Consider the following 26,923-nt stretch of genomic DNA (forward strand, 5'->3'; position numbering starts at 1 on the left):
TTTCTTCTTTCGTTCTTTCTCTCTCTTTCCTTCCTTCCTTCTCTCTTTCTCTTTCTCTCTCTCTCTTTCTTTTCTTTTCTTTCTTTTTTTGTCTTTTTTCTGATGGAGTCTCGCTCTGTTTGTTGCCCAGGCTGGAGTGCAGTGGTGTGATCTCGGCTCACTGCAGCCTCTACCCCTGGGTTCAGGTGATTCTCCTCTCTCAGCCTCTGGAGTAGCTGGGATTACAGGCATGCACCACCATGCCTGGCTGATTTTTGTATTTTTAGTAGAGACAGAGTTTTACCATGTTGGCCAGGCTGGTCTTGAACTCCTGACCTCAGGTGATCTGCCCACCTCGGCCTCCCAGAGTGCTGGGATTACAGACATGAGCCATTGCACCTGGCCTATAGTTTGTTTTCTTTTTTTTTAGACAGAGTCTCGCTCTGTCTCCCAGGCTGGAGTGCAGTGGCACAATCTCAGCTCACTGCAACCTCTGCCTCCTGGGTTCAAGCGATTCTCCTGCCTCAGCCACCTGAGTAGTTGGGATCACAGGCGCCCGCCACCACGCCTGGCTAATTTTTGTATTTTTAGTAGAGACAGTGTTTCACCATGTTGGTCAGGCTGGTCTCAAACTCCTGACCTCAGGTGATCCGCTCACTTGGCCTCCCAAAGGGCTGGGATTACAGGTGTTAGCCACCGTGCCCGGCCTGACTGGGCTCCTTCTGATTGGTTGCTGCAATCACATGTTTTTAGGAAAAATGGTCTACTTGGGGTTTTCCTGCTTCCTTAAAGTTTCAGTTGGAGGCTGGGCGTGGTGGCTTACCCCTGTAATCCTAGCACTTTTGAGAGGCTGAGGTGGGCAGATTGCCTGAGCTCAGGAGTTTGAGACCAGCCTGGGCAACAAGGCAAAACCCCATCTCTACTAAAAATACAAAAAATTAGCTGGGTGTGGTGGTGCACACCTGTAGTCCCAGCTATTTGGGAGGCTGAGGCAGGAGAATTGCTTGAATCCGGGAGACAGAGGCTGCAGCAAGTTGAGATTGCACCACTGCACTCCAGCCCGGGTGACAGAGAGAGATTCTGTCTCAAAAAAAAAAAAAAAAAGAAAAAAGTTTAGGTTGGGTGTGGTGGCTCACGCCTGTAATCCCAACACTTTGGGAGGCCGAGGCAAGCGGATCACCTGAGGTCGGGAGTTTGAGACCAGCCTGACTAACGTGGAGAAACCCCGTCTCTACTAAAAATATAAAATTAGCCAGGTGTGGTGATTCATGCCTGTAATCCCAGCTACTTGGGAGGCTGAGGCAGGAGAATCGCTTGAACCCGGGAGGCAGAGGTTGCTGTGAGCCGAGATTGCGGCAACAAGAGCGAAACTCCGTCTCAAAAAAAAAAAAAAGTTTCAATTTGATTGTCTGGCACTTTAGCATGAGTGATTCCATTTTGGTTTGGTCTGCTGGGGCTTAGTGTAGGAGCTCAGTCCAAAATAATGGCCTCCTATAAATTTAACCCAGGCTATCAAAGATAAACAAAGCTGGACTTTAATTGAAGTGGTGACAACTGATGTTATTCAGTAACTATTGACAGTAGTGGAAACAGCTGAACTCCATTCTAATTTATACAAGGTGCCTGGGTGTTTTAAAGGGAGAATGAGGGTGTAGGAAGGGGGAGCGACAGGGAACGCAAGTGAAACATTACAAAGGGTTGGTCGGTGTAAATGTGAATAGACTGTGTCTGCAAGCTGGGAATTATGTTTTTTGTTTGTTTTGAGACAGTGTGTCACTCTGTCACCCAGGCTGGAGTATAGTGGCATGATCTTGGCTCACTGTACCCCTAGGCTCAAGTGATCTTCCCACCTCAGCCTTCTGAGTAGCTGGAGGCTGAGGTGGGAGGATTGTCTGGCTAATTTTTTGTATTTTTAGTAGAGACAGGGTCTTGCCACGTTGCCCAGGCTGGTCTTGAACTCCTGAGCTCAAGCAATCCCCTCCGCCTTGGCCTCCCAAAGTGCTGGGATTACAGGCATAAGCCACCATGCCCGGCCACACCAAGCCGGCAATTATGGAAGTTAGGATTCTATCCTCCCACAAAGACTAGGAGACAGAAGCAGTGTTCTCATAATTACATCTTAATTTTTTTTTCTTGAGACGGAGTCTCACTCTGTCGCTCAGGCTGGAGTGCAGTGGTGCAATCTTGGCTCACTGCAACAGCCGCCTCCCAGATTCAAGCAATTCTCCTGTCTCAGCCTCCCGAGTAGTTGGGACTACAGGCGCACACCACCATGCCTGGCTAACTTTTGTATTTTTAGTAGAGACGGGGTTTCACCATGTTGGCCAGGCTGGTCTCGAACTCCTGACCTCAGGTGATCTGCCTGCCTTGGCCTCCCAAAGTGCTAGGATTACAGGCGGCAGCCAATGAACCCGGGGTAATTTTATATTTCTAACTCACCCTACCTTATAGTTGTGGAAAGATTCCTCTGAAACACTTCCCAAAATATCTTTTGCTACAATAAAGAACAAGTGTGGCTGGGCACTGTGACTCATGCATGTAATCCCAGCACTTTGGGAGGCCAGGGAGGGACGATTGCTTGAGCCCAGGAGAGTTTGAGACCAGCCTGGGCAAAATGGCGATATTCCTGTCTCCACAAAAAATTAAAAAATTAGCCAGGTGTGGTGGCGTGCACCTGTAGTCCCAGCTACTCGGAGGCTGAGGCAGGGGGATTGCCTGAGCCTGGGAGTCCGAGGCTGTCAATGAGCTACGATGGTGCTACTGCACTCCAGCCTGGAATGAGACCCCAGCTCTAAAAAATACAAAAAAAAACAGAAAGAAAAGGAAAGAGGCTGGGCGCGGTGGCTCATGCCTGAAATCCCAGCACTTTGGGAGGCCGAGACGGGCGGATCACGAGGTCAGGAGATCGAGACCATCCTGGCTAACACGATGAAACGCCGTCTCTACTAAAAATACAAAAAAAATTAGCCGTGCGTGGTGGCGGGCGCCTGTAGTCTCAGCTACTCGGGAGGCGGAGGCAGGAGAATGGCGTGAACCCGGGAGGCAGAGCTTGCAGTGAGCCGAGATCGCACCACTGCACTCCAGCCTGGGCGACAGAGTGAGACTCCGTACCCCCGCCAAAAAAAAAAAGGAAAAAGAACAAGTGTGTCTACTCTACAGCAGAAATAGAAACTTTGAAAACTATTTTTCTAAATATGTGGTAGAAGCTTTCACTTGGCATTATCAGTACATCTAATTTTAGCTATGCCAGTCTGCATGGAATGGTATCTCATTTTGTTTTTTAAAAAATACTTTTTTCACCAGCAAAGGAGACAAAATAAAATCATGTAAAAAAACTCAAACCAAAAGAAAACATTTAAAAACAATAAAAACAGATTTAAAAAATAGAAAATAAATAGTAAAATAATCAATTTATATCAAACAACTTTTCCCCAGCTTTTTAGTTGCTACAGAACATTTCTGTCTGGGCGCGGTGGCTTACGCATGTAATCCCAGCACTTTGGGAGGCCAAGGCGGGTGGATCACCTGAAGTCAGGAGTTCCAGACCAGCCTGACCAACATGGAGAAACCCCGTCTCTACTAAAAATACAAAATTAGCCAGGCATGGTGGTGCATGCCTGTAATCCCAGCTACTCGGGAGGCTGTGGCAGGAGAATCACTTGAACCCGGGAGGCTAAGGTTGCGGTGAGCCGAGATCGCACCATTGCACTCCAGCCTCGGCAACAAGAGTGAAACTCTGTCTCAAAAAACAAAAAACAAAACAAACAAACAAAAAAGAACATTTCCATTGTAAAGTTTCCTCAACTCCTTTCATCCTATGTCCTGGTTCCAGATTCCAGGCAATCACTGATCTTCTCTCATTATAGTTTTGCCTTTCATTGTGGCTTTACTTTGCATTTCCCTGATAGTCAATGACCTTGAGGATTTTTTCATAGGCATATTGACCGCTGCCTATATCTTCTTTAGTGAAGCATCTATTCTTTACCAGATTTTTATTGTTGTCTTAGAATTCTAAGAGTTTCTTATATGTTCTTATATAAGTCCTTTGTTTGCTTTATGTATTGCAAAAACATCTTCCCAGTTAGCAGCCTGCCTTATTTTCTTAATGGTATCTTTTGAAGAGAAGATATTTTTAGCGAGGTGCAGTGGCTTACCCCTGTTGTCCCAGTTACTCTGGAGGCTCGGGTGGGAGGATCACTTGAGGCCAGGAGTTTGAGACCAGCTTGGGCAACATAGTGAGACCCTGTGTGTATATATAATATATATAAATATATGTATATATATATATATATATATATATATATATATTTTTTTTTTTTTGAGATGGAGTTTCTCTCTTGTTGCCTAGGCTGGAGTGCAATGGCGCCATCTCGGCTCACTGCAACTTCCGCCTCCTGGATTCAAGTGATTCTCCTGCCTTGGCCTCCTGAGTTGCTGGGATTACAGGCGCCCACCACCACGCCCAGCTAATTTTTGTTGTTTTTAGTAGAGACGGGGTTTTGCCATGTTGGCCAGGGTGGTCTCCATCGCCGTGTTGGCCAGGGTGGTCTTGAACTCCTGACCTCAGGTGATCCACCCGCCTCGGTCTCCCAAAGTGCTGGGATTACAGGTGTGAGCCACTATGCCCGGCCTAAAAAATATGTATTTTTAAAAATTAGCCAGGTGTGGCGGTGTGCACCTGTAGTTCCAGCTACTCAGGAATGCTGAGCTGCACCTAGCTCTTGAGCCCAGGAGTTTGAGGCTGCAGTGAGCTATGATTGCACCACTGCATTCCAGCCTGGGTGACAGAGCAAGACCATCTCTATTTACAAACAAACAAACAACAAAAAACATATAAAGGAGAGAAGACATTTTTAAAATTAAAAAACTTCAATTTGTCAATCTTTTCCAAAAAGATTTCCCATTTCCTTGTAGTTTCATAGTTTTAGTTTTTGTTTAAATCTGTAGTACTATTTACTTATTTTTTGAGACAGTCTTGCTCTGTCACCCAGGCTGGAGTACAACCTAGGCTCAAGAGATCCACCTCAGCCTCTCCAGTAACTGGGACCTCAGACATGCGCCACCACACCTGGCTAATTTTTTATAGAGGTGGGGTCACATTATGTTGCCTAGGCTGGCTCAAGCAATCCTCCCACCTTAGCCTCCCAAAGTACTGGGATTATAGGTGTGAGTCACTGCGCCTGGCTGTAGTCCTTTTTGTGTTAACTTTTTTTATTATTTATTTTCCAATAATTTATTATTTGGAGATGGAGTCTCGTTCTGTTGCCCAGGCTGGAGTGCAATGGAGTGATCTTGGCTCACTGTAATCTCTGCCTCCTGGGTTTAAGCGATTTTCCTGCCTCAGACTTCCCACATAGCTGAGATTACAGGTGTGCGCCACCACGCCTGGCTACTTTTTTTTTGAGATGGAGTCTCGCTCTGTCGCCCAGGCTGGAGTCAGTGGCACAATCTCGGCTCACTGCAACCTCCGCCTCCCAGGTTCAAGTGATTCTCCTGCCTCAGCCTCCCGAGTAGCTGGGACTATAGGTGCGTACCACCATACCTGGCTAATTTTTTTTGTATTTTTGGTAGCGACGGGGTTTCACCATGTTGGCCAGGCTGGTCTCAAACTCCTGACCTCAGGTGATTCACCCGCCTTGGCCTCCCAAAGTGCTAGGATTATAGACGTGAGCCACTAAGCCTGGCCCTTTTTGTGTTAATTTTATATATACTATGAAGTAAGGGTTAAGGTTAAATTGTTTACCCAAAGGACATCCAGTTATTTATTTATTTATTTACTGTGACAGAGTCTCACTCTGTTGCCCAGGATGGAGTGCAGTGGCACAATCTCAGCTCACTGCAACCTCCACCTCCCTGGTTCAAGCGATTCTCCTGCCTCAGCCTCTCGAGTCGCTGGGATTACAAGTGCCCCCACCACACCTGGCTAATTTTTGTATTTTTTAGTAGAGATGGGGTTTTGCCATGTTGGCCAGGCTGGTCTCAAACTCCTGACTTCAGGTGATCTGCCCGCATCGGCCTCCCAAAGTGCTGGGATTACAGGCGTGAGCCACCGCGCCCAGCCCATCCAGTTATTCTTGAATGATTTGTTGAAAGACTATTTTTCATTCATTGAATTACCATGACACTTTTGTCAAAAACAACTGAAACCAATGTGTGGATCTATTTCTAGACTCTCAATTCTATTTCCTTTATCTACATGCCTTTCCTTAGGGGAATACCACACTGTCTTGATTACTACAGTTTTCTATAAGCTTTGCTATCAGGATGGATAACTTTGTCCTTTTTTTTCAAAATTAACTTAGCTATTCAGGATTCTTTTCATGTCCATGTACATTTTATTTATTTTTGAGACAGGGTCTTGCTCTGTCGCCCAGGCTAGGGTGCAGTGGTACGATCATGGCTCACTGTAGCCTTGACCTCCTGGGCTCAAGCGATTCTCCCACCTCAGCCTCCCAAGTAGATGGGACTACAAGCACACACGACCACACCTGGCTAATTTTTGTATTTTTTGTAGAGATGGGGTTTCACCATGTTGCCCAGGCTGGTCTGAAACTCCTGGACTCAAGCAATTCAACCACCTTAGCCTCCCAGTGTTGAGATTACAGGCATGAGTCAATGTGCCCAGTTGATTTTATTTTTGAGACAGGGTCTCGGTCTGTCGTCCAGGCTAGAGTGCAGTGGTGTGATCATAGCTCACTTTAACCCTGAATTCCTGGGCTCAAGGGATCCTCCTGCCTCAGCCTCCCAATTAGCTAGGACTACAGGTTTGCACCACCAGGCCTGGCTAAATTTTATTTTTTTGTAGTGATGGCAGTGGGGGTCTCGCTATGTTGCCCAGGCTGGTCTCAAATTCCTGGCTTCAAGTGATCCTCCCACCTTGGCCTCTCAAAATGCTAGGATTAAAGGCATGAGCCACTGAGCCTGGCATATCTTATTACATTACAGTATCATAGGACCTCAGTTACGATCCCAAGACAAGTGAGAAATAAATATTTTTCCTCCTGTCCATCACCTTCCAATCCATAAATGTGAGCAAACATCCTCTTAGATCTTTAAATTTTTCTCTTAGCAATGCTTTGAAGTTTTCAGTGTACAGGTTTCACACATTTTTAGAAATTTACCCCTAAATTCCTTATATTTTGATGTGATCAAAAATTCTATTTTAATTTTGTTGCTAGTATATAGACAATTGAATTGTTAATGTTGAGTTATATCCTGCACCTTGTTCATTGTTATTAGTGGTAGGATTTTTAGTATTCTCTACGTATGTGATCATGTAGTCCGTGAACAGTTTTACTTCATCCTTTCCAATGTTTATGCCTTACTACTTGAAGAGAAGTGGTATCTTGGTGCAGATCTAAGGGGGAAAGTGTTCAATATTTTATCATTAAATGTTACCTGTAGGCCGGGCGTGGTGGCTGACGCCTGTAATCCCGGCACTTTGGGAGGCTGAGGTGGGGTGGATCACCTGAGGTCAGGAGTTCGAGCCCAGCCAGGCCAACATGGTGAAACCCCATCTCCACTAAAAATACAAAAATTAGCCGGGCGTGGTGGCAGATGCTTATAATCCCGGCGACTCGGGAGGCTGAGGCAGGAGAATCGCTTGAACCTGGGAGGTGGAGGTTGCAGTGAGCCAATATTGTGCCACTGCACTCCAGCCTGGGCGATAAAATGAGACTCCATCTCAAAAAAAGGAAAGAAAAAAAGTTACCTGTAGATGTTTTGTAAATTCCCTTTATTACGTTGAGAAAGTTACCTTGTACTCTTTAAGCTTTTATCATGAACTTTCTAAAATACTTACTGTATCTATTGAAATAATCCATAATGTGTTTTATTTCTGTTACCATAATAACAATAATTGATTTTTTCTTTTCTTTTTTTTTTTTCTGAGACTAAGTCTTGCTCTGTCGCCTAGGCTGGAGTACAGTGGCGTGATCTCAGCTCACTGCAACCTCCACCTCCCGGGTTCAAGCGATTCTCCTGCCTCAGCCTCCTGAGTACCTGGGATTTCTGGTGTGTGCCATCATGTCCAGCTAGTTTTTGAATTTTTAGTAGAGACAGGGTTTTACCATGTTGGCCAGGCTGGTCTCAAACTCCTGACCTCAGGTGATCCGCTGGCCTTGACTTCCCAAAGTGCTGGACAGGTGTGAGCCACCGGACCCTGCCTGATTTTTTTTTTTTTTTTTTTTTTGAGATGGAGTCTTGCTCTGTCATCCAGGCTGGAGTGCAGTGGCGCCATCTTGGCTCACTGCAACCTCCGCCTCCCAGGTTCAAGCAATTCTCTCACCTCAGCCTCCCAAGTAGCTGGGATTACAGGCACACACCACCATGCCCGGCTAATTTTTGTTATTTTTTTAGTAGAGACAGGGTTTCACCATGTTGGCCAGGTTGGTCTTGAACTCCTGACCTTGTGATCCGCCCACCTCAGCCTCCCAAAGTGCTGAGACTACAGGCGTGAGCCACCGCACCCAGCCCTGATTTTCAAATAATATAGCAATCTTGAATTCCTGGGAAAATTCCACTTGGTCATCATGTAAGGTTGTTATAATATTTGAAAATCAATTATATAAAAAATTCATTTTTATATATTGCTGGATTCAAATTGCTAATATTTTGTTAAAGACTTTTGGAATTGTTTTTAAGGGCTTGGAGCTTTCTTTTCTTGAAATATCTTTGATTTGGTATAGGGGTAATACTAGCCTCGTGAAGTGAGTTGGGAAGGGCTTCCCTGTTTTCTAAAGTGTTATGTAAGATTGGTATAATTCCTTCCTTAAATGTTGAATAGAATTCATTAGTGAAGTCATGTGGGCCTGGAAGTTTCTTTATGGGAAGGGTTTCAATTATGACTCACTTTCTTTAACAGGTAAGGAAATATTCAAATCTTCTATTTCTTTTCATGTCTCTTTTGGCAATTTGTGTCTTTCAAGGAACGTGTCCATCTCATCTAAGTTGTCAGATTTACTGGTATATAGTTGTCTATAGCAAAGAGAAAGAAGACAAAGGCCAGACTTCCCTCTGAGTGACGGAAAATTCCTTATCACATACTGACCTTGTTATTAGAAGACACTTGATGCAGTATTTAGGGGTAAGGAGTCATAACATCTGCAACTTACTCTCAAATGATTTGGCAAAACACACACGTGCGCACGCACACATACACACATAAGAGAGAGAACGGACAGGATATGAAACAAACAACATTGGTCAATACAGGGGGAAGGGTATATGGGAATTCACTGGACTATTTCAACAACTTTTCTGTAGATTAAACACTTTTCAATATATAAAGTTAAATAATATATTCATATTCCATAACCTGGCAATTTAAGGGAATAATCAGAAAATCACACACATACTCTGCACAAGAAAGTTTATCACAGATCAGAACTTGAAAACACCGTAAAACCCCCACAGAGGATTCAATAAACAAACAATACGATACCAAAGAGCCGCCGCCGACAACGACAACAACAACAACAACAACAACAACAACAAAAGACATACTTTTTTCAAGGGTATCCATGTGGAAAATGCTCAGTATAAATAGGCTACTGAGGGGAAGAGTTCCCACACTGAGTACGTGACCCCTTCCTATATGCACAGGAAGAAGACTGCAGAGAAACACCATGCAAGCAGTGGCTGTCTCTGTGGTGGTGTCACAAGTGAAAATGACTCTTCCTCACACTCCTCTTCCAAACTTTTTTTTTTTTTTTTTTTAAGACAGAGTCTCACTCTGTCACCCAGGCTGGAGTGCAGTGCCACGATCTCAGCTCACTGCAACCTCCGCTCTCTGCAACCTCCGCCTCCCAGGTTCAAGCGATTCTCTTGCCTCAGCCTCCTGAGTAGCCTGCCACCACACCCGGCTAACTTTGTATTTTTAGTAGAGATGGGGTTTCACCATGTTGGCCAGGCTGGTCTTGAACTCCTGACCAGGTGGGTGAGTGATCCACCCACCTCAGCCTCCCAAAGTGCTGGGATTACAAGCATGAGCCACCATGCCTGGCCTCTTCCAAACTTCTTGAAAGATCCTAGAAACTATCACTCCAGAGCAATAGGAAAAAGAGCTTACACTGGTTTAAGACCTGGATTACCCCCAAAAGGAAGGGAAGGAGATTCTGCAGGCAGTAGTGACAACTGGTCTCAAAGTAGCCTGGCGAAGTGGACTGTGTAAGACTGTGAGATCTGGTCTCATGCCCCCCAAAATAGGCAAGGTTAAGAGATCAAGTAAGACAGTAAATGAGAAAAAGGTAAAGTTATATACACATGTAAAAGCAACTGTCTATTTGTTTTACAAGGATGTTCATCGGCTTGGAAGCTATTACTACAGGAAATCCACATGGTACAATGAGATCTAAAGTCCAAAGAGCTGAGTGGAGGTTTGAATCTGCTTCCTGGATGATCCTGGGCAAACTATTCAGCCTTTCTGAGCCTATTTCCACCTCTGAAAATCTGGGATGATGAAATTTTTTATCACTATCCTCCCTGTTGAAAGACTGTGGGCTGGGTGCAGTGGCTCATGCCTGTAATCCCAGCACTTTAGGAGGCCAAGGCGGGTGGATCACCTGAGGTCAGGAGTTTGAGACCAGCCTGGCCAACATGGCAAAACTCCATCTCTACTAAAAATACAAAAAATTAGTAGAGCGCAGTGGCGCGCACAGGTAATCCCAGCTACTCCAGAGGCTGAGGCAGGAGAATCGCTGGAACCCAGGAGGCGGGGGTTGCAGTGAGCCAAGATCGCACGACTGCACTGTAGCCTGGCTGACAGAGCGAGACTCTGTCTCAAAAAAAAACAAAAACAAAAACCCTAAAAAACAACAGGGGGACCTGCTGAGTCCCCTGAGTCCCTCCATGTATCATGAATGAGAGGACGACTGTCCCAACTCATAAATCCTGGAGTTGCTCTGTTGCTCTTGGCCTCTGTGTGGGGCTGCCACATCGTCCCTGAGAACAATGCTGACTGTGCGGGCTGGACCACTGTCCTATGCTGGAAAAGTGAGGAACAAGCAGATTCCTCTTGAAATGCCTGCCTGAGCCAACTGGCCACTATATGAGTAGAAAAATTATTTTGACAGGGATCAAGAAGACAGAGATTGAACAAGATATCTGCCTAAACTGCAGCTGGAGATGTGGCAAGAAGATGTAAGGACTCATTGTAGAGGAGAGAAATATTTTTTCTATCCTTTTTATTTTCATCCCTGTAAGGGCAGGAACAAATCTTTCTGGGTTTGGAGTCAGTGACAATACTCACAGCAAGGAGTCCAACATCAAATACTGAGATTCTTGTTTTACAAAAGTGATCTATTCTTAAGGTTGTGAAATTGAGTCTTCTATTTGACAAAAATCATTGTTACCCAGAAACACTTTTAAAATGTTAATATAATTCACTGCTTTCTGCATTATGAACAATGAAAGCAAGAAATCTGGTCAAACTGGGATGTTGAGAGGTAGGCTGAGGACTGGCCACTGTACTATTTCACTAAAACTGGAAAAATAATACAAATGCAGACTCCAGAGGTGAAATTCAGGCGATTTATTGTAAACAGGATAACCCTAGCACTCCACCATACTGGCTGTGTCACATGCTCCCTCTTTCACATCAACTGGTCAAAAAAGAAGACTTTCTTAAGAAGCCTCAGGTAACTAATAACTTAGTTCCACAAATCTCATTTACTAAGCACTGCGTAAACTGCAGTATCTGGGGTAGTCTGTTATTGCTCATGGACTGCAGCTTGGACCCATCTAAATGAATCCATTAGTATGCCTGAGTGATCAACAGCAGCTCTAGATCCAACCTGGAAATTGGAAAATGCTGACGCATACCAAACAATTGCAGGTTCATGGAAGACTACATGAGATTGCTCTCAGATCTCTTCATGTGTCATTCTCATAAAAAAGACACTTAAATTTCACCCATTTTTTAAAAAAGAGCTAAAAGTTACTCAATAGCACATAATTTTCCACATAAAAGGTAGGTGGATTTTTATTTACTAGTACAGTGGTGGATCGGAACACTCAGGCCTAATTTCAGATCTGTCTTGTATATACTTGCAGTTTAATGAAAAGCTGCATAGTCTACAAATACATAAAACCAGAAGGAAGTGATGATTTCACACACCTTCTGATGGATAAAGACAGGCTTCATATAAGGAGGTTCTTGAAGGTAGGGATAAAAAGATGGTTACAGCACCACATTGATCTGACAGTAGAAATGGAGCCCCGCTTTTGAAAGCAGCCCCATAGTTGTGACTATATCGTTCTTGCCCAAAATTGAGATTTGGAAAATGGCAAATGTAAAAACTTAAGATGTGAAAAGGTATGACTTTACAGAAGAAAGTCCTAGCCAATCAAATCATATGGGGAGGTAAAATGTCCTTCAAAAATGCCATTCTTTACTTTGCCTGAGTTAGTGGATGACAGGGCCACTTACTGTTACTAGTGCTTGTATATGGAAATATATTCACAATTTCTCTTGAAGCAAGTTTTAATAACAGTAAATATTTCAAAACAGCTGTTAAATCTACAGTAACAATTTCACCTAAAATAGTATCTCATGAAAAAAATATTTTTTTAAAAGTCTACTCCAGTCATCATCTGTGTTTATATGTTTATATTTATATATTCAAAAAATAACTTAACATTTAAGGCAAGATTAGACTGGTAGCAACAAGGGATTTTAGAGTTTTATGAAGACCTGCTATATAAGAATGCAAGGCTTTACTTTTTATATTTCCAAAAAGGTGGCTTTGTATTGGCTGCCTTTTAAATTCATAAAGGGGCAAGATATTTTGGTTCACATACTGACTGCAATTTCACTGTAATAAAAAGTTATACAGGTGGTTACAAAAAGCTGATGTTGGAAAAGCATGTCACACACTCAGTAGGATCTGAAGTTGACCCTATTTGTACGTGTTAAATAAATATGTTGTGTTAAAGCAATATGTTGATGAGGAAAAGTAAAACTCATGGAACACTGCAAACCAACTATGAAGAAGTAGGTCAATATAATTCAATCAGAATGAAAGAAACCACAGTAATCCTGAGAAATTCGGTTTAGGACAAAATTGATGTAAGGTAAGTCTGTATTTCTAGCATTGTAAATAAGTAGGGTTTTCTAGCATTTTACGAGTTGGCATAAAAAACATGTTCAAATTTTATAAAAAGATTAAAACCATGCCTTATATAACCAGCATTTCACTAATAAAAGATGACATTGCTTTATCATCTGCCAAATGTAATGTTTTCCACTGATTTACATGAAACCATCAAGTAGAAAGCAAATTTGAGGATCAATTTTTAAAAAGTTATTACCTTTCTAAATGTTGTGAAGCCTTCTATGTCAAGCTAGGAGGCTTTTAGAAAAGAGCTAACTTTTAACTTTCTTCGGACAAGTGACTATTTTACAGAATAGGGAAGGAAGATTCTATAGGAATATCATTCATTTTAAGCATTGTTATATTGGGGAAATTTCTCTCAGTAATCAAAAGAAAAATTTTAAAATATTTAAGAGGCATGTATTTAAAAAATATTCTACATCTATAAGATTTTGTAATTTACTTTGGATTTATAATATTTCTACATAATGACATTTGACAATTTTTTGTTTGTTTCTCTAATAGTGAATCAGAAACTATTAAAGTGGCCAAGATGATTTTCTTAGGCTCTGGAAGACTCAGGAATGCATCCACTTGCACTTTCCCATGCATGGGGAATCTTCAGAGTTTTGCAGCCATGAAGTTAATATGTGGTTTCACAAGGGGAAACAGTGGCAGACCACGCTTGAATTCGGTCATGTTCTGAATCACTTCAGGCTGCAAAGAAAAAAGTTTCCTTTTAGTGTATTTAACCTAAACATCAGAATAAGGACATCAACTTTTTTTGGCGGACACTGGGAGCATACCTCAGTTCTACTTAATATACTGTTTTTTTGTTTTGGCTTGAGGCCGCTCTACCTAATAACCCATGTATCTTGATCTGCTGACCTTTCTTCTGGATCAGTATGTCTGGAGGGTCGTGAATTGGTCTGTACAAACCTATGGTAAGTGTCCTTAGTCCTTTTGGTTTTCCTCTGGGCAAACAAGGGCTGGCTCACCAAGGACTTAGAGGCTTCGCATCAAGGCTTCAGCAGAGTAGCAGAGGCTGGTGTGCCCACCCACAAAAAGCCTAGTTACACTGCCAGTTTCCTCCTCTTGCAAGCTAATGTCAATCCTTCTAGATGATTAAAATACGCAGGTAACATGGGAGAGACTAAGAAGTCTCTCTCCAGTATTCAGTGCTGGGAACAGATGTGGCCAGAAATGATCCATTGCAAAATAACACAACTGTTCAAACAGGAGGCAAAGGCAGACAAGGGTAGAGGCTGAGTGACTAGATGTTCAGGGAAGAACTAAAGTAGAAGCTCCAACACCTGGTGACCTGAAACTTTTAGTTCATCACTTTTAGTTCCCAATGAACAAGTTTCTTCTGGCCGGGCACAGTGTCTCGTGCCTGTAATCCCAGCACTCTGGGAGGCCGACGCAGGTGGATCACTTGAGGTCAGTAGTTTGAGACCAGCCTGGCCAACATGGTGAAACCCCATCTCCACTAAAAATACAAAAACTAGCTGGGCATGGTGGCGTGTGCCTGTAATCCCAGCTACTCAAGAGGCTGAGGCAGGATAATTGCTTGAACCCAAGAAGTGGAGGTTGTAGTGAGCTGAGCTGAGATCGCACCACTGCACTCCAGCCTGGGTGACTGAGTGAGACTCCATTTCAAAAACAAAAAACAAAAAACAAAAAAAACCAAGCTGCTTCTTCTAAATAGAAAGTCCTCTGTCAGTACAATCTAACATAACGTTATATTTCTTACTTGTGGCAAGGCTGGTGCTTGTGACAAATTTATGTCATTTTGACATGGGAACTCTCCAACAACAGGACCTATAAGAAAATAAAAGGTTTAATACTTTGTACTTATTGATACTATCACAAAAGAACAAAAAAAAAAAACTAAACCAGACTCAGTTAATTAAAAACACCGCACCAGCCCCGTTCATGTACTTCTCAGATCCTCTAAAGGTTGCCTGCTACCCAAGGCCTTAAGTACTTGTCCTGCCTTCTATCCAGAGCCACCCAGTGATGGCTCATGATATTCCTGAGGTCATAAAACTTTGGCCACAGCAGTTTTAGGGCCCAGGTCTAATGTGACTTTCTGTCCACCCAGAAGGACCTTGCTAGGTTTCTAAACTGTTAGTAAACTTACTAGTTTTACTAAACTGCCCAGAAAGCAAGGGAGTTAATGGCCACAGGACAAACTTTGGCCAGTAAAAGCCAGGAAACGAAAGGACTGGGAAGTTAACTTGCTTACCCATACTCCCCACATGCAGTGGTTCATGCAGCCTGTTTGGAGACACCCCAACAGCAAGCAGCTGTGTTTTCCTGTGATGCTGTGGCTAGCTCGGCATTCTATCACCTGGTATTGCCTCTCTCCTTCACTACCTCATTTCTCTTTTCCCCTTATATCTGCAGACCTTATCTCCAGTTTCCGTTCTCTACCTCTTTTACTTTCTGGTGTTCTATAAGGCATGTAGCTATGACAAAGGCCAACCATCAGATGGCTCAACATGAGCCTAAAAAGGCAACATTTGATACTTACAAGAATCCATTTCCCTGGCAAGAACATGGACGGATACCTTATGTCTCCTTGGAGCATCTACTGCCAACATTTCCTAGGCACAAAGAAGAGCAGGGTCACCCTTTTGCTCCACTAAAGAACTTACAATGAGGTGTTCTCTGAAGACTATGAAGAATCAGCTATCACACAGTCAGATATAGAAAAGATGCTTCCCTTTCTGGCCGGGTGCAGTGGCTCATGCCTGTAATCCCAGCACTTTGGGAGGCCGAGGCAGGTGGATCACTTGAGGTCAGGAGTTCGAGACCAGCCTGGCCAACATAGTGAAACCCTGTCTTTACCAAAAATACAACAATTAGCCAAATGTGGTGGCACATGCTTGTAATCCCAGATACTTGGGAGGCTGAGGTGGGAGGATTGCCTGACACGAGGAAGCAAGTTTGCCATGTGCCATGAGCCGAGATCACGCCACTGCACTCCAGCCTGGGTGACAGAGCAAGACTCTGTCTCAAAAAAAAAAAAAAAAAAAAAAAAAAAAAGAAAAAGAAAAAGAAAAGATACTTCCCTTTCTTTCCCCTCACTTACATTATTTTATTTAAGCTCTAGAAAGATTTAGCAAGGCACGCAAGAATTATTCTTTTTTTTTCCTTTCCTTTTCTTACTCTAAGGAAAGAATTATCCTTAACCCAATTTTACAGATGAGAAAACTGAATCCAAGGAGATTAAAAAACTGCTCAAACTCCTACAGCTAATAAGTGCCTGAGCTAGGATTAAAAACCTAGCCTAGTACTCACTGGGATGGGCTGTGCAGGGCTGCACTTGGTGATCTTTAGTGTCTACAGAGACAATGGTCTGAGCTTAGTCAGGGACAAGCACGAGTGCCTGCTCCTCTAAGAACCTTCTCAGACTCTGCTTGTAAACTGTGGTTCATCTACCAAAAGAGAAAGGAAACTAACAATTACTGAGTCCTGCGTTATATCAGGCACTCTCCTATGTCAGCTCACTTAATTCTCTGTGAACTAAGCATCATGATGATTCTTACTTTAGAGGCATGGACTCTAAGACACAGCAGCTTACATGAATTACATGGGTCACACAGTTCATAGGTGATGGTGTCAGAAGCTAGAGTCTGCTTGCTCTCTCCATTCCACCATGCTGCTTGGAGGGATTCCCCTTAGTTACTACCATGAATGCCAGCAGTGCTAAGTTGGCAGGTGGATCCTGTGGGGAAGTATGTCCCAACCTTTCCCTTAACAGCAGACTTCTACTGTCTTTTCTAAAGGGGTACAAAATTGTGACAAAGTTCCTCTTATTCCTTAGCCACAAGCAACGTTTCATATCCTTAGAGGAAAGAAATCATCAGCCAAACCAAATCCACTCAACAGTTATTTACTAATAACTGTTACTAGTTACTAGTAACTGGGCAGTTACTAATAAGCCTGGTCCTATGTGACTGCAAGGAAGCCCTGTTGATGTTGCACAGCAATCCTGCCCGTGGCTCCCCACTCTACTCCCTGCCAGCAGGCAAAACAGCCCAGATTCTCACAGGCCTGCTCTGACCTCTCCAGCCTCTTTCCAGGAACTCAGCCCAGGTCTGCCTCTATTAACATGTAGTACCTCATCTAAGAACTTCATCTTACTGGAGTAAAAAGTTTGCTTCCAAAGATCTCTTCTCCATCTCTTGTCACCCAAACCTTCATTACCCCCTTGTCTACCCACATCAGCAGACAGCAGAACACCTTCTCCAGTTTCAGATTGTTCCCGATTTTCTGACCAACTCTGGACAATCCTCATTTTTCTAAAAACAAACAACTGCACCTTCTTGCAAACTATTAATATGTTCTAAGGAACACTACAGTCCTGGGAGATATTTATAGGTATTCTGTGTAAAAAAGGATGCATGGTGAAATCAGTTTAGAAAATGTTAGTCAAAATTAAATAAATGCAGGCTAAAGTCTTTACTGTGGGACTTCTTATAATTTCTAAAATACCAATACACTCTGATTCTCTAAGAATGCGAATAGTCTTTCCCAAACTTGTATGGTCATGAAACCCTTTTCCTAGGTACCCCTATTAATATCTTGCATACCATGGAACACAGCTAGGGAAATGCTGTTCCAGACTTAGCTTAGGCCTGGTTATAAATACTCTCTCTGTTTTTTTTTTTTTTTTTTTTTTTTTTTTTGAGATGGAGTCTCGCTCTGTCGCCCAGGCTGGAGTGCAGTGGTGCTATCTTGGCTCACTGCAACCTCCACCTTCTGGGTTCAAGTGATTCTCCTGCCTCAGCCTCCTGAGTAGCTGGGATTACAGGCGTGCACCACCACGCCTGGCTAATTTTTGTATTTTTAGTAGAGACGGGGTTTCACCATGTTGGTCAGGCTGGTCTCGAACTCCTGACCTCGTGATCTGCCCACCTCGGCCTCCCAAAGTGCTGGGATTACAGGTGTGAACCACCACGCCCAGCCCCTCTCTCTTTTTTTTGAAACAGGGTCTAGCTATGTTTCCAAGGTTGGTCTTGAACTCCTGGGCTCTAGCGATCTTCCTGTCTCAGCCTCCCCAGCAGCTGGGACTACAGGCTATTATTGCAAAAGAACAAGAGTAATTTAGATGAGACACTTCTTTTCCTCTATACAATGCAAAGGAAGCCATGAGGTAAAGAAAATCACTTGTCCAGCCATCCATTTTTGTAGCCAAAATGGGTCAAATCTCATTGCTGAAAAAGGTGCTTTCAAAATACTGGCTTCTGCTGCTCAGTTCTGAAACTATAGTCTCCTTTTCTTATTGTTAAGGTGATATCAGCTATATTAATACTTGTTTGCATACAGCCTTAATAATTTTGCAGAAGAGTTGCTGGGAGAGGTGTAAGCAACTCATGGATGATACAAAATCACCATTTTCCTCAAAGAAACTATCAGCACCTTTGGGTCAAAGACTGTTACTTTTTCCTTACCCTCTCACTCAGCACTAGGAGTGGTGAATTAAATAAACATTAGAAACCCTAGTACAGGAGAAAATGTGATCAAGCCTCATTGTACCACTAACTTCACAAAGTCATTCTAATGAGAACTGTAAGCACTGACTCCTATGCTGGTAGCTATAGTACATCCCTAGAAAAAAATACTGTAGAGTATCTCTCTAAAAGGATGTGGGCACAGGGCAGGACTGAGTCCCCGTCCAAACAACATAATGACAGATACAAACCAGAAATGGCTAGAACATTAAGGGACAATTCTAAGGTACTATGGTAATCACAGAGTATAATTTTGCTCCTTATTTTGAAAAATAGGCATATGAGTATTTTACACAAACTAGAGGCCCCAATATATTACAAAAAACATATGTAACACTTTAGGTGCAATTCCATTGCAGCACAAATTTTGAGTTTTTGCATTTAGCATACTTATTACACATTCATATACCTACCTAATGGAAATTTTGCTATCCTTCTTAGAATTTTTATATAGGGGAAGATTTAGATGGTGTGAACCTCTTTTTTTTTTTTTTTTTTTTTTTGAGACAGAGTCTCGCACTGTCGCCCGGGCTGGTGTGCAGTGGTGCGATCTCAGCTCACTGCAACCTCCGCCTCCCGGGTTCAAGTGATTCTTCTGCCTCAGCCTCCTGAGTAGCTGGGATTACAGGCACCCGCCACCATGCCCAGCTAATTTTTTTATTATTATTATTTTTAGTAGAGACAGGGTTTCACTATGTTGGCCAGGCTGATCTTGAACTCCTGACCTCGTGATTCACCCACCTTGGCCTCCCAAAGTGCTGGGATTACAGGCGTGAGCCACCACGCCCAGCCGGTGTGAATCTCTTAAAGCTTGCTGGGAAGACTTTAATGGTGGTGCCTCCCTTTCTTTTTGATAGACTTCCTAAGTGAGCGCAAGCATGTAAAACTTATAATATCTCTGACCACAATTCAAAGGTGAGTAATCATTTATTTTAAAAAGCAGCCACAGTGGCACCTAAATGGGTGAAGATAATTTATAGTTGTCAGAGCTTGGAAAATAATCTGATTCTCAAGTTCTTTTGTTTTCTTTGTTCTTCCTTCCCACCAAACAAGCTCAGCAATATTCTTTGCAGAGTAGGGTGGAGAACAGAGAGAAGAAACTGAAAGGGTGCCTAAAAAGGTAGATCTGGAAGTCAGGAAGGGCTGTCACAGTCCTTGGTTTAGAGCATGGGTCAATCTTTTGGCTTCCTTGGGCCACACTGGAAGAAGAAGAATTGTCATGGGCCACACATAAAATACACTAACAATAGCTGATAAGCTAAAAGAAAAAAAATTTGCAAAATATCTCATAATGTGGGCTGTACATGGCCCGCAGGCTGCAGGTTCAGCAAACTTGGTTTAGAGGGAGAGGAAAACAGTACTTGGTTCAATAAAAACTATCTTTATTCTAAAAGTCATTAAGCGTTTGTGTCAAAAAACTCAAATCCACAAAAACACCTTCATAAATCCAGCCTGAATGGCTTCAAAGCAGCAACACACAATATAGCACATACAATAGGTGTTTTGGTTTTTTTGAGGCACAGTTTCGCTCTGTCACCCAGACAGGAGTGCAGTGGCATGATCTCCACTCACTGCAACCTCTGCCTCCCAGGTTCAAGCGATTCTCATGCTTCAGCCTCCTGAGTAGCTGGGATTACAGGCGTATGCCACTACGCCCAGCTAATTTTTGTATTTTTAGTATAAATGGGGTTTCACCATGTTGGCCAGGCTGGTCTTTAACTCCTGACCTCAAGTGATCCTTCCACCTTGGCCTCCCAAAGTGCTGGGATTACAGGTGTAGGCCGCCATACCCAGCCCTATAATACTTTCATATCAGTCAAAATCTAAATATATGAATTTGACTTACCTTGTAGAATTTGATGATATCTTCCTTGGTAAGTGTCTTTAAATATGCAACCTCAGTGTTATCTGAAAAAGTAATCAAACAATATTTTACTAACATTTTCATATGAAGCAGCCCAGAACAGTACACTAAATGACAATATACTTCACTCCAAGACTCTTAAGTATCCATATATATTTTTTTTTGAGACAGAGTTTCACTCTGTCACCCACGCTGGAGTGCAGTGGCTCGATCTCGGCTCACTGCAACCTCTGCCTCCTGGGTTCAAGTGATTCACCTGCCTTAAGCCTCCTGAGTAGTTGGGATTACAGGCACAAGCCAACACGTCTGGGTAATTTTTATATTTTCAGCAGAGATGGGGTTTCGCCATGTTGGCTAGGCTGGTCTTGAACTCCTGACCTCAAGTGATCTGTCCACCTCAGCCTCCCAAAGTGCCGGGATTATAGGCGTGAGCCATCGCGTCTGGCCAAGTATTCACAATTTTTTTTTTTTTTTGAGATGGAGTCTTGCTCTCTCACCCAGGCTGTTGTGCAGTGGTGCGATCTCAGCTCACTGTAAGCTCTGCCTCCCGGGTTCATGCCATTCTCCTGCCTCAGTCTCCCAAGTAGCTGGGACTACAGGCGCCCGCCACCATGCCCAGCTAATTTTTTTTTTCTTTTTTATATTCTTAGTAGATACGGGGTTTCACCGTGTTAGCCAGGATGGTCTCGATCTCCTAACTCGTGATCCGCCCGCCTCGCACTCCCAAAATGTTGGGATTACAGGCGTGAGCCACTGTGCCTAGCCAAGCATCCACATTTTTACGTGACCATTTGCTTTGATTTCAAATAAAAGTAAGTGGATGTTGGCTGGGCACAGTGGCTCATGCCTATAATCCCAGCACTTTGGGAGGCCAAGGTAGGTGGATCACTCGAGGCCAGAAGTTTGAGACCAGCCTGGCCAACATGGTGAAACCCCATCTCTACTAAAAATATAAAAATTAGCCAGGCATAGTGGAGTATGCCTGTAGACCTAGCTACTCGGGAGAGGCTGAGACATGAGAATCACCTGAACCTGGGAAGCAGAGGTTGCAGTGAGCCAAGATCACATCACTATACTACAGCCTGGGCGACAGAGCAAAACTGTCTCATAAAAAAAAAAAAAAAAAAAAAGGCCAGGTGCAGTGGCTCACACCTGTAATCCCAGCATTTTGGGAGGCCGAGGCAGGGGGATCACCTAAGGTTGGGAGTTCGAGACCACCCTGACCAACATGGAGAAACCCCATCTCTACTAAAAATACAAAGTGGTGGCACATGCCTGTAATCCCAGCTACTTGGGAGGCTGAGGCAGAATTGCTTGAACCCGGGAGGTGGAGGTTGCGGTGAGCCGGAGATCGTGCCATTGCACTCCAGCCTGGGCAACAAGAGCGAAACTCCATCTTAAAAAAAAAATAATAAGTGGATGTAGTGCAATGGGTAAGAGCCTTGGCTCAGGAGCCAGGCCAGCCTGGATTCACATCCTGGCTCTCTGGTTATGAGCTTTTGGATCTTGGCCAGTCACCTCAACTTTTCTAAGCCTCAGTTTCCTCATCTGGAAATTGGGGATAATAACTACTTAATAAGGGCTGCAGTGAGAATTAGGAAAAAGATACATGACAATAACACTGCTAGGTACACGGCAAATGCTCAATAAATGAGAGACAGTATTATCATTAATAGTGAATCCAACTGCTAGATAAATTATAAGTAGGCTGGACGTGGTGGCTCACGCCTGTAATCCCAGCACTTTGGGAGCCTGAGGCAGGAGAATCGCTTGAGCCTAGGAATTCAAGGCTACAGTGAGCTATGATGACACACTGTACTCAAGCCTGGCTGACAGAGTGAGATACTCTCTGAAAGAACAAAACAAAAATAAAAATTATGGGTAAGGAAACTGAGGTCCAAAAAAGGTGTCTTGACCAAGATTTTTAGCTTGTTGGTGTCAGAGTAAGAACACAACCCACATCCTCTGACTTCTAGTACAGCTTAGCACAATCCGTTGTTAATCTATGCTCTAGAAGCAAGGTGAAAGGAAGCTGATTCAAGACAAGAGACTTCAAGAATCACAGCTCTCCCAAATCTGAAAGGAGTGAAAAATCTTTGGAGATCCCTACAGGCAAATGTTTGAACTCCTGTGCCTCAAGGGCAGCATTTGCCTCAAAGGGGTTCAATCTGGTATTATCTCATTTTTTTAGTATTATGGGAAATAGATACTTAGGTATCTGTGATCAGAATCTCAGGATACACTGATGAAACAAAAATGTGAAATTGAATTATTAATACTTTATTGTGAGATATGGGTAGATCCAGGTCTAGGTTTGGAGGGAAAAAAAAGAGATAAGGTTTCTAACAGAAAACTGGGGTTAAATTAAGTAACAGTTCTTTGGAAGTGCCAGCCATCCCCCCACCCCAACTCCCCAAATAGGTAACGGAATATCACCTACAAAATGAATACCATTTTGTAGAATGGCCTTAATCAAATGTTACTTGAATGCCATAAATGTTGGAGCCCTAATTTTACCTTACCTCTGTCAAAATTATATTGCTGGGAGATGATTTCTCCCCAGTATTTAGCACACTCAGCAGATAGCTTCTTTGGTTTGTCTAGTCGACGAATTGCTAATGCCTGAATGTGTTTTTGGAAGGCCTCTTCTGTCATGTCCTCTATGGACTTTTCCATGGTAATTAAGAAAGCTTCCACTCTGCTTTCTAGGTAGTGAGGTGGCTTTTCTGACTGGATGATGAATCTCAAGCCCTGTATGCCATTAGCTCGACGTGGCCCGCTGAAGACGATATAGCCTGAAACACAGACATCAGCCAGTCATGACCGTGGCATTTGAGACCTGGGTCATTTTTAATCCTTCAAAAACTAACCTGTCTGAGCAAATAAAATCTAGTTTAAGGTTTTAGAGTATTCACCTCTTAAAGAAATATGAGCACTTAAGATGGTTTCAGTTCCTAAGGACAGAGCAGAAGAGCTCTCTGAAGAATTACAAAGTTGGAGATGACTTTTTCTTCTTCTTAGGAAAAAAATCCTATTCATTATTCAAACTCCCATCTTGTCACTCCTCACTCTCTGTGAGTTAATCCTCTTCAATCTATGCTAAAGTTACTCCCAGAATATAAAATGCTGGACTCATTTTCATCCCTTAGTGACAGTCCTAGCTGTGTTTCCTTTAACATCCAAGTTCCGCATATGAACACGGCTCTCCTACTGTATTTCTTGTTAGATAATCCATTCCTGAACCAATTAATTCAGAATGCAACTCTCTAGAGATCAAGCTAACTAAAAGTCATACTTCCATGTTATCTCATGAGGACATGCACTACCTTCCTTCAACACCTTTTCAAAACCAAGCTCTTGGCTTATCTCCTTCAGCTGCCCTGCCCTGATCTACCACCTCCAACAGCTGTGGTGCCTCTGGGTCTCACTTCTGAGGAAGTTTCTATCTTCAACATAGCCATTCACAGTTTGATTTTCTTTGAGATGGAGTCTCGCTCTGTCACCCAAGCTGGAGTCAAGTGGCACGATCTCCGCTCACTGCAAACTCTGCCTCCCGGGTTCAAGTGATTCTCTGCCTCAGCCTCCTGAGTAGCTGGGATTACAGGCATGCACCACCACGCCCAGCTAATCTTTGTATTTTTAGTAAAGATGGGGTCTCACCATGTTGGCCAGTCTGGTCTTGAACTCCTGACCTCAGGTGATCCACCCGCCGCAGCCTCCCAAAGTGCTGGGATTATAGGCGTGAGCCACCGTGCCCGGCCAATAGTTTGAGCTCTTATAATAACATTTACCATGCTGTACTAAAATTATTCCTTTACAGGCCTGCCATCCTGATTTGACTGTGAGCTCCTCGAAAGGAAGGACCATCCAGAGCATCCATTTTCCATGTCCAGCACCTAGCACAATGGGTATTTAAACAATGATGGGTACTTGGAGAGACTCATCCTTTTTTCACTGGTTCCTTTCTGTCATTACTGGGGCTTCTTTGAGCTTCTTTCCTCATTGATCAAATCTGCCAGTACCTCAAGACTTTTAACAGTATCTAAAACTGGGAACACTTGCTGTGCCTTCTGTATGTCCCAGGCTTGGGATATAAAGACGAATGAGAGATAATACCTGCCCTCAAGGAACTCAGGCTTTAGTGAATCTAAGCTCCTCTGGATGGCTCATTTCTCATCTTGCTACCCATAAGCTTGTCCTTAGTATCCTTTTCCCCCACCTAAAATGCCCTCTTTATTGACATGTATGTAATATGCAGTATCATCTCATAAATAATTGCTTTAATGTCCATAAGATAGTGATTGCTTATCTTTTAGAAGTGGATTCTCTGTAATAAGGTTTTCTCAAGTCTCTCTAAGTAGACCATGCCTGATATACAGTGTTAGGTGAAAATGTGGAAAATGTTTTACAGGGAAAATAATTCATCAAAGTCTACAGTACCCTGCTATTTCCCCACTTTCCTCTCACCCAACTGCTCCTTGGTGCGCAGGGTGTTGAAGCAAGGTTCCGAGATAATCTGACAGAAGAGCTCCAGAAACATATTCTCTGAGGTGCTTTGCATGTCTGTTTGGTAGTATATCTCGATGCCACAGTTATTGTGAACTTCATTTCTCTGCTGATAAACAAACCATCCTCCTAGGAAGTTTCAAAAAGACAGCAGCAAGTTCAAAAACTTATTTGGGGTTTAATAAAGTCAATGCTATGTCTGCCCACACTTACAGATGATAATTTAGACATTAATAGAAAAGGGAGGTAGAGAAGCCTGGAGTTGTATTTCATTGATTTCACTTTTCTGATCATGTCCAACTTTGACCAACAGTCAAACTTACTAATTATAAATTGGCAGCACTAAGTTCCCTCTCATCAGAAGGAGGGGAGCCAGTGCCATGGCTCACATTTATAGTCCCAGCTACTTGGGAGGCTGAGGCGGGAGGATCACTTGACCCCAGGAGTTTGAGGCTGCAGTGAGCTGTGAGTATACCACTGCACTCCAGACCAAGACACAGAGTGAGACCCTGTCTCAAAAAAAAAAAAAAAAAAAAAAGCAGAGAGAGAGGAACGTGGCCTGTAAGCCTCTCTCCCTCACCCACCTCACATCCTTCTAGCCTTTTTGTACTTTTTTTTTTGAGACAAAGTCTTGTTCTGTCACCCAGGCTGGAGTGAAGTGGTGCCATCTCAGCTCACTGCAACCTCCGCCTACTGGGTTCAAGCAATTCTCTTGCCTCAGCCTCCTGAGTAGCTGGGACTATAGGCATGTGCCCCCACACCTGGCTAATTTTTCTATTTTTGGTAGATACGGGGTTTTGCCATGTTGGCCACGCTGGTCTTGAATTCCTGACCTCAGGTGATCCGCCTGCTTTGGCCTCCCAAAATGCTGGGATTACAGATGTAGGCCACCACGCCTGGCCCTTTTCTTTTTTTTTTTTTGAGACGGAGTCTGGCTCTGTCACCCAGGCTGGAGTGCAGTGGTGCAATCTCGGCTCACTGCAACCTCCATCTCCTGGGTTCAAGCAACTCTCCTACCTCAGCCTCCCAAGTAGCCGGGATTACAGGTGCCTGCCACTATGCCCAGCTAATTTTTGTATTTTTAGTAGAGACGGGGTTTCACCATGTTGGCCAGGCTGGTCTCAAACTCCTGACCTCAGGTGATCCACCCACCTCAGCCTCCCAAAGTGCTGGGATTACAGGTGTGAGCCACTGCACCCGGCTGCCTGGCCCTTTTCATATATATTCTAAAACATCTTCTCGGTTGCAGTGAGCTGATATTGTGCCACTATACTCCAGCCTGGGTGACAGAGTAAGACTCCGTCTCAAAAAATAATAACAAAAATAAAGATAAATAAAACATCTCCTTTATAATGCTTGAAAATTTTCCTTTTCACTTGAGACAGTCTGTCACTCTGGCACCCAGACTGGAGTGCAGTGGCACAATCATGGCTCATTGCAGCCTCAACCTCCTGGGCTCAAGCGATCATCCCACCTCAGCCTCCTAAGTAGCTACAGGTGTGCGCCACTATGCCCAGCTAATTTTTTTTATTTTAAATTTTTTGTAGAAACAAGTTCTATTTTACCCAGCCTAATCTCAAATTCCTGGCTTCAAGCAATCTTTTTACCTTGGCCTCCCAAAGTGCTGGGATTATAGGAATGAGCCACCACCCAGGCCTGAATATTTTACTTTTAAATACTAAGTGCCTTTCCATGGAGAGTTAAGTGAAGAACTATTTAAAGATTCACATCTGATCAGCTGGCTAATTCAGCATGATTTCCTACCACTTAGCATTTTGAGAATGAGATGTGAACTGGGCTATTTTTGAACATGGAGAAATTTGGGAGGGTACTTAGGAGGCAAAAGAGATTAAGATCCTAGGAAAGGAGACAGAAAGAGGGAAGTAGAGTCAAAAGAAGTAAGAAGGATGAATTGCACTTTGAAATATTGTTTCTACACTGGCCTCACTTTGAAGTCAACT

At 43.3% G+C, this 26,923-nt stretch overlaps 1 protein-coding gene across 14 annotated transcripts in view; it reads right to left on the reverse strand.

Moving 5' to 3' along the window:
- Nucleotides 10,932-26,923, reverse strand: part of IDE (insulin degrading enzyme) — a 122,410-nt gene continuing 106,418 nt past the window's right edge. For all 14 annotated transcript variants that reach the window (NR_136399.2, NM_001322794.2, NM_001322793.2 and 11 more), the window contains 6 exons: nt 24,924-25,091; nt 22,979-23,251; nt 20,439-20,500; nt 15,607-15,679; nt 14,824-14,891; nt 10,932-13,787 (listed from right to left, as the gene is read on the reverse strand). Coding sequence is in view for 13 of the 14 variants with exons in the window: in NM_001322794.2 (NP_001309723.1) it covers nt 13,692-13,787; nt 14,824-14,891; nt 15,607-15,679; nt 20,439-20,500; nt 22,979-23,251; nt 24,924-25,091 (740 nt within the window). In the remaining variant the exon portion in view is untranslated. The remainder of the gene's footprint in view (nt 13,788-14,823; nt 14,892-15,606; nt 15,680-20,438; nt 20,501-22,978; nt 23,252-24,923; nt 25,092-26,923) is intronic.

The sequence above is a fragment of the Homo sapiens genome, chromosome 10 (assembly GCF_000001405.40).
Source record: "Homo sapiens chromosome 10, GRCh38.p14 Primary Assembly".
Lineage (NCBI taxonomy): Eukaryota > Metazoa > Chordata > Mammalia > Primates > Hominidae > Homo > Homo sapiens.